Source organism: Homo sapiens, chromosome 13 (genome assembly GCF_000001405.40).
Source record: "Homo sapiens chromosome 13, GRCh38.p14 Primary Assembly".
In the NCBI taxonomy this organism is placed as follows: domain Eukaryota; kingdom Metazoa; phylum Chordata; class Mammalia; order Primates; family Hominidae; genus Homo; species Homo sapiens.
Window position 1 is genome coordinate 22,363,396 of NC_000013.11, and position 9,001 is coordinate 22,372,396.

At 37.5% G+C, this 9,001-nt stretch overlaps 1 annotated feature.

Moving 5' to 3' along the window:
* Positions 6,314 to 6,935: an enhancer, noted in NCBI's record as "OCT4-NANOG hESC enhancer chr13:22943848-22944469 (GRCh37/hg19 assembly coordinates)". NCBI's record gives its function as "activates a minimal SCP1, AML or CMV promoter by ChIP-STARR-seq in primed H9 embryonic stem cells {active_cell/tissue: H9 hESC(primed)}" and the evidence as "EXISTENCE:reporter gene assay evidence [ECO:0000049][PMID:30033119]".

Below are 9,001 nucleotides of genomic sequence, written 5' to 3' on the forward strand. Positions count from 1 at the left end.
GTACTGGTACAAAAACAGACACATAAACCAATGGAACGGAATAAAGAGCCCAGAAATAAGACCACAAATCTACAACTATCTGATCTTCCACAAAGCTGACAAAACCAAGCAATAGAGAAATAAGTTTCTGTAGAATAAATGGTGCTGGCACAACTAGCTAGCCATATGCAGATGATTAAAACTGAACCTTCCTTACACCATATACAAAAAATAACTCAAGATGGATTACAAACTTAAATGTAAAACCCAAAACTATGAAAACTCAAGAGGACAACCTAGCCAATAAAATTCTGAACATAGGACTGAGCAGAGATTTCCTGACAAAAATGCCAAAAGCAATTGCAACAAAAGCAAAACTTGACACATGGGATCTAACTAAACTAAAGCACTTCTGCACAGCAAAAGAAACTATCAACAGAGTAAACAGACATCCTACAGAACAGGAGAGAATTTTTGAAAACTATGCATATGACAAAGTTCTAATATTCAGCATCTGTAAGGAACTTGAACAATTTTAAAAGAAAATACAAATAACCCCATTAAAAAGTTGGGAAAAGACATGAATGGACACTTTTCAAAAGAAGACGTATATGTGGCCAACAGGCAGCTGAACAAAAGCTCAACATTACTTATCATTAGAGAAATGCAAATCAAAATTACAATGAGATACCATCTCACACCAGTCAGAATGGCTATTACTAAAAAGTCAAAAAAATAACAGAAGCTGGTGAGGTTTTGGAGAAATTTACACTCCCACACTTGGGCATGTAAATTAGTTCAACCATTGTGGGAAACACTGTGGCAATTCCTCAAAGACCTAAAGACAGAAATACCATTTGAACCAGTCATCTCATTACTGGGTATGTACCCAAAGGAATATAAATTGTTTTGTCACAAAGACACATGCACATGTATGTTCACTGCAGTACTGTTCACAATAGCAAAGACATGGAATCAAGCTAAATGCCCATCAGTAGTAGACTGGATAAAGAAAATGTGGTACATATACACCATGGAATACTATGCAGCCATAAAAAAGAACAAGATCATGTCCTTTGCAGGAACATGAGTGGAGCTGGAGGCCATTTTCCCTAGTAAACTAATGCAAGAACAGAAAACCAAATACCACATGCTCTCATTTATAAGCAGGAGCTAAAAGATGAGAACACATGGATACACAGAAGGGAACAACAGACACTGGAGCCTACTGGACTGTGGAGGGGTGGGAGGAGGAAGAGGATCAGAAAAAATAACTAACAGGTACTAGGCCTAATACCTGGGTGATGAAATAATCTGTACAAAAATCTCCGTGACACAAATTTACCTGTATCACAAACCTACACATGTACCTCTGAATTTAAAAGTTAAAAAAAAAAATAGTGTTTCTATATGCTAATACTGTACTATTTGAAAAAGAAATAAAGAAAACAATCCAATTTACAATAGCTACAAAAGACACCTAGGAATAAATTCAACAAAGGAGGTAAAAAATCCCTATAATGAAAACTATTAAAATATTGATAAAAGAAATTGTGTAGACCCACACAAATATGGAAAGACATCCTGTGTTCATGAATTAGAAGAATAAATATTGTTAAAATTACCGTACTACCCCCCACAATCTGTAGATTCAATACAATCCTGCCAAAATACCAATGACATTCTTTACAGGTATAGAAAAAAATCCTAAAATTTGTGCGGAACCACAGAAGGCCCCAAATAGCCAAAAACAACCCACCTCCAAAAAAAAAAAACTGGAGGAATCACATTACTTAACTTTAAATTATACTACAAAGCTATAGTAACTAAAACAGTATGATACTTTCATAAAGACTGACAGATAAACCAATGGAACAGAATAGAGAACCCATAAATAAATCTGTGTACAATAAGTCCTCACTTAACATTGATAATTCATTCTTGGAAACTGTGACTGTAAGAAAAATGATGTGTAAGAAAATCATTTTTTTCTCATCAATGTTATAACAAAATGACATTGAATCAAACAACATTATCCAAGGACCTGCAGTATGTTGTTTCACTTAAAGTCACAGTTTTTGAGACCCCATTGACAACATTGTGAGGACTTACTGTATTTACAGCTAACTGATTTTTGATAAAGATGCCCAGAACATAAACTGGGAAGAAGACAAACCTCTTCAATAAGTAGCACTAGGAAAATTGATATTCCTATGCAGAAGAATGAAACTAAATTCATATCTCTAGCCATGTACAAAAATCAACTCAAAATGGGTTAAAGACTTAAATGTAAGTCTAAAACTATTAAACAACTAGAAGAATACATATGAGAAACACTTCAGGACATTATTCTGGGCAAAGATTTTATGAATAAGACCTCAGAAGCTTAGGCAACCAAAGCAAAAATACACAAATGGGATTACACCAAACTAAAAAGCTTCTGTATAGCAATGCAAAAGAAAGAAAAAAAATCAACAGAGTAAAGAGACACCTCACAAAAGGGAGAAAATATTTTCAAACTATTTATCTGACAAGCGATTAATACTGAGAATACACAAGGACCTCAAGCAACTCAACAAAAGTGAAAAAAAAAGAAATAATCTAGTCAAAAGATGTGCAGATGCTCTGAATAGACAGTTTTCAAAAGAAGACACAATGGCCGACAAATATATTAAAAAATGCTGAACATCACTGACCACCAAGAAAATGCAAATCAAAACCACAGTGAGATATCATGTCACCCTAGTAAGAAGGGCTATTATCAAAATGATAAAAAATAACAAATGCTGGCAATGATGCAAAGAAAAAGGAACTCTTATACAGTGTTGGTGGAGACATAAATTAGTACAACCGTTGTGGAAAACAGTATGGTGTTTCCTCAAAAAATCAAAAGTAGAACTATCATATGATTCAGCAATCCCACTACTGGATACAAATCCACAGAAAAGGAAATCAGTATGTCAAAGAAATATTTGTAGTCCTATGTTTATTGCAGCACTATTCACAATAACTAAGATATGTAATCAGCCTATTCTGTCAATGGATGAATAAAGAAAATGTGGTATATATACACAATGGAATACTTTTCAGCTATTAAAAAATGAAATCCTGTCATTTGTGGCAACATGAGTAAGCCTACAGGATGTTATGTTAAGTGAAATAAATCAGACACAGAAAGATAAATACCACATGTTCTCAGTCATATGTGGAACCTAATAAAATTTGATCACAGAAGTAGAAAGTAGAATACTAGATACCAGAGGTGGGAGAGGGTAGGGGGAGGAAAAGATGGAAATAGATTGGTTGTGTAGCACTGTAGGGTAACTACAGTTACAATAATTTATTGTATATGTTCAAATAGCTGGAAGAGAAGATTTCGAATGGTTTTTAACACAAAGAAATGATAAATGTTTGAGGTGATGGATGTGGTAATTACCCTGATTTCATCATTTCATATTGTATTGAAATATTACACCGTATCCCATAAATATTACATTTATGTAATATGTTAGATAAAAAAAAATCAGGTAAGAGAACTTCTCCTTCAATCGCTAGTCTGTGACTTTTCTTTTCCTTCCTAAGGTAATATCGTTAATAATATTGTCACATTGTCGCAATATCTACTTCGTTGTCTTATATAATCGTACATCACATGTAAGATCTATATATATGTAGGGCATATATTATTATGTATTTTATATAATAATTAAGCTTACAACTCCATTTAAGGGTAAGATTACTCTCTCTCATTCTTTAGGGGAAACTGCCTTGAGGCAGGAGTATTGGTTTTGCCCGTCTTTCTTTCTCATTTCCTTCTCTCCTGCCTGGCTGCTGTTTGCAGCTCTTCCAGGGGATGGGGGGCAGAAGTCCATAGGGAGCATCTCTGCCTTGTCTTGGCTTTATCTAGAACTGTTGTGTCTGGTTTTGTGCCCTCAGAGCCAGCAGAGTTTGAAGGAGGTCATGGACTCCCTCATGTGTTCTTTGAGGACCTCTGATCTCTGGTATGCAATCTCCTGATTTCAGTGAGTGGTTCTTCTGGCTGGACTCATTTACGTGAAGATCCTGGGAATCTTGAAGTCCACCTCCAGCTTCTGTTGAGATTACATCTCTTTTCCAGATGTGTTTTGGAAGGGACTTAAGACAGTCCACAAGGAAATGTGTTCTTTGTCCCAGCCTAACCAAGGGCAGCCGAGTCCAGGCTCTGCTCTGTTGCCTACACCTGGGTTCGCCTAGTTCTTTGTATCTGGAGTTTCCATTCAGGGCCAGGTGGGGATCACCCTGTCTCATAGCTGTAAGGATCACAGAAAATCTTCCTGCAAGGTCCAGCTGAAGCTGTTTTCTCTCGATTTAAGTTGCAGGAGGAAAATACCTTTTTTCTAATAAATCCTCTCAAAAAATCTTCCTCTTGGATTTATAAGACTTGTACTTTGGCAAGTTTGTGAACTGGTCTGGAATTTTATATATTTGTACCTTAGTTTCTCAGAAACGTCAAGTAACTATGTCATTGCATATTATATTGTCTGTGTGTGTGTGTGTGTGTGTGTGTAATCAAAATTGCAAGTGTCTAAATAAAACAAATTATCTTTTCATGTAATGCATTATTTAAAGCAGAAAATAACTAATGTAGAATGAATCCTATTGAGAAAATAATATCAACTTCTTATCTAGTTACTGTCTGATAAATACTTAAAAGACCACATTCTTCTTCTAGTTAGTAAATGAAAAATCACTGGTGAGGTCTCACAATAGAAACAGTATGAGATAAACCACTGTTAAAATTCCAGCTTACTTCAAATATTATAGCCAAAGCCAAAAGAAGAATGAGCTCTTGTTAACCTCAGTGCAGTTTTATCTTGAAGGTATTATATTTCATCCTTCTCATTTTTATTCACAAAAATGTCAAGAAAACATCTATAAAGTAGATGAAAATATAAAAATATGCTGCCTCCCCTATCTCCATAGATTTCTTCATGAATCCCATCTTATTCTCAATACAGCTTTTCATGTTAGAGTTAGGTTCATTCAAATGTTTGAGTAGCAGAAGCTGTTCTAACATCAGGTGAAATCCAGATCTCTTTATAAGAAATAATGGAGAAAAAAATGTTTTTAGAAAGACCAAAGAACCAGAAAAAAGGGCGTAGAATCAGCATGTCAAAAAGAGACCGTGAATAGTGATGAGAGATGAAAGACATGTCTAAAAAATATGTAATGAATAACTCCCTTTGACTGATAATGTAGATATTATTAGTGAAGGCAACATTCAAGGAAAGAGAAAAAGACGGTCCTGATTCACATGTTTAAGCTAATTGGAGTAAGTCCGTGAAGTGATTTCCAAAGGTCTGCTGCTGTGTGTACAAACCTGTAGGGTCTTTAAAGGAGCTGGAGCTCAGAGCTTTGTGCATGATGTTTGCGTTTTGTTTTGTTTTGATTTGTTTTGTTTCATTTCTTTTATTCATTTTGAGATGGTGAAGGCAGCATATTAGGCTGGAAAGAGTGACTTTCAAGAACTCTGGAGAGAAATCATACTATTATCATGAAAACTCTACTTGCCCCCTGCAAATCATCTGATAGGTGCCAAACAAAATAAAACAGGAGTATTCAGTAAAATTTACTCCTTATCACCATTTTTCCCTTTGCAAGGGCTACAGGAGAGCTTTCCTCCTGGCCCTCTGAAGGTTTGCTGAAAAATAAATTCACAAAAGGCAGATTAATAGAAGAAAAGGCATACAAATTTATTTAACATGTGTACCCAGGAGCCCTCAGAATGAAGACCCAAAGACACAGGGGAAATGGTCTATTTTTTGCTTTGGTTCAACCAAGTATGGACAGCCATGTAGAAATATGATTGGACAAAAAGTGTGTGATCTAATGCTAATAGTCTGCGTGGGGGAACCCAGCAAGGCGTGTCCATCTAGATTCCTCTTGGCTTCTCTGAGCAGCATTCCTTCCCTCTGGGTATGGGGCAGGAACCTTTCCAGAATGGGAGTCTTATAACCTATCATCAAACAAGGTAGGTCAGAGAATTTCTTTCTGGCCATTTTTACATGGATAGGGCTAAGGGAAGGTTAGATTAATATTGTTAGTTTTATAGCTGTCTTTGGAGAAAAGGAGTTCAGGTTTCTATGACCTGCCTTGGAGAAGAGTGTTTCTCATTTCTATGGCTAGCCTTGGGGAAGAATGGGATGGAGAGAAAGGAGGGCAGGAAGAGGTCAGAGAAAAACCTTTTGCTTCTGAAGGTATTGCAGAGGCCTTCATTTTGGGATATTGTTTTCTGAGCCCCAACACTCTGAATGGTAGACCTAAGAAGGACAAAAACAAGTTCTAGGTCAGAAAATACGTCCTTGCTATTGTATTTGTTGGAATCCAAAATATGCCTCTCCAAAATATACTTTTTTGGTATATTTCAAGTTGTTTATTCAGAGAAGCTGAATAGATTTGAAAAGCTATTGCTTTGTTAAAAGAAAAAATGTATGTTTATCTACATTAGTAAAGCAAACAGGAGATACAAACAGAGGCTTTCTCTGAGGTCACCTTATCCAGATCTAGGAAAGATGAACTCACAGAAAAAGGAGACTTAAGTCTGACATTTTGAAGTTCTGACAGAGAAACTGTTAACCACAAGCTGCCTTCTATTCACTCTGAGGACTGCTACCTGTGAGACTTCATCTGCATAACAAGACAGCCTTTGCTCTCCATGTGTTTCCTCCCCCCACCCTCCCACAACCCATCCCCAGGCTCCCCAGGAGCCCTAAGTCCTTATTCTACTCTGTATGGTATACAACTTAGTCATCTGGCCCTTCTTTGAGTCTCATATTTTGTGTAGTTACTCTACACATGCATATGTAATAAACTTGTATACCTTTTCTCCTGTTACTCTGTCTATTGTTGGTTGATTTTATGGAGTCAATTTATTAAACATTCAAATGGGTGGAAGGAAATTCCCTTTCCCCCTACGTATCCATGAAAGCTTTCCCAGAATGCATAGTTGTGTCCTGCCAGATTGGTGGTCAGAACAGGTTTGTATATCTTATGTGTGTTTTCCACAAGGAAGAGTGCCTTTTAAGTCCAAATAGCATTGCTCTGAAAATTAGGAAAACTGTTTGCTTTTTAAACACTCTACACAAAGCTTCCTGGGGCATTTCATCAGAGCAGCCTAGAACTTCTCATTTTAACCAGCTGAATACTTTCTTGCTTGGCAAAGCTTTTTGACACCTTTTGGGTTTAAATCCAGATTTTTTTTTTACACCTGTACTGTAAATAAGAGCACTTTTTTTGATGATTTAATAGCCAGTGGCTGACAATATATAGCCTAAGATAGCTATTATATTAAATAGACAGGTATATAACGTCTCTTCTCTTCATTCTTTGATACGATCTGTTTGTGATCTTTGCATTTTTTGTTTGTTTGTTTTGACCAGGATTCACTGGATACAAGACAGTTTTAATTCCAGAAAATATTTTTGTACTTCTCTTTAAATATGTGACTTGGAAGCAGGTTTTTGGGTATGAGCATATGTAGCTGTTGAAGATGACTATCAAAATTGATGCCACACAAAGCACCTTGTAAACAAAAGATGCTGGCACTTGGTAGGAAAATTAGGAAGGAAAATTAATAATACAGAAAATAATAGTCACATTTTCACTTATGCTTGCATAAGTTCTACCATTTAGGAGTTCTCAAAAAGAAATTAAAAAGAAGAGAAACAGGGTAAAAAAAACGTAATTTCTCCAGGGAATGTCTTTGGTCTGGCTTTCACATACACACAAACATTCTCATCTCAAAAGCAGTCATCAGAAAAATGATCTCCCTCTTGAATCCAAGTGAGATAAGTGCGGTATTAGTCCATTTTCATGCTGCTGATAAATACATTCCCAAGACTGGGTAATTTATGAGAAAAAAAGGTTTAATGGGCTCACAGCTCCATGTGGCTGGGGAGGCCTCACAATCATGGTAGAAGGTGAAAGCACGTCTTACATGGTGGCAGATAAAAGATAATGAGAACTAAGCTAAAGGGATTTCCTCTTATAAAGCCATCAGATCTGTGGTAGACTTATTCACTACCACAAGAACAGTATGGGGCAAACTGCCCCCATGATTCAATTATGTCCCACCAGGTCTTTTCCACAACATGTGGGAATTATGGGAGCTATAATTCAAAATGAGACTTGGTTGGGGACACAGCCAAACCATATCATTCTGCCACTGGCTGCTCCCAATTCTCACATCCTCACATTTCAAAACCAATCATGCCTTCCCAACAGTACCTCAGATTCTTAACTCATTTCAGCATTAACTCAAAAGTCTACAGTCGAGAGAAGCAAGTCCCTTCCACCTATAAGCCTACAAAATCAAAAGCAAGTTAGTTACTTCCTAGATACAATGGGGGTACAGGCATTGGATGAATACAACCATTCCAAATGGGAGAAATTGGCCAAAATGAAGGGACTACAGGCCCATACAAGTCCAAAATCCAGCTGGGCAGCTGTATCTTAAAGTTTCAAAATGATCTCCTTTGACTCCATGTCTTGCATCTAGGTCATGCTGATGCAAGAGGTGGGTTCCCATGGTTTTGGGCAGCTCCGCCCCTATGGCTTTGCAGGGTACAGCCTCTCTCCCAGCTGCTTTCATGGGGTGGCATTGAGTCTGCAGCTTTCTCAGGCACATGGTGCAAGCTTTCAGTGGATCTACCATTCTGAGGTCTGGAGCATGATAACCCTCTTCTCACAGCTTCACTAGGCAGTGCCCTAATGGGACTCTGTTTGAGGGCTTCTACCCCACATTTCCCATCTTCACTTCCCTAGCAGAGGTTCTCTATGAGGGTCCCACCCCTGCAGCAACCTTCTGCCTGGACATCCAGGTGTTTCCACACATCCTCTGAAATCTAGGTGGAGGTTCCCAAACCTCAATTCTTGACTTCTGTACACCCGCAGGCTCAAGACCACATGGAAGCTGCTAAGGCCTGGGGCTTGCATCCTCTGTAGCCATGGCCCAAGCTGTACCTTGGCCTCTTTTAGCCATGGC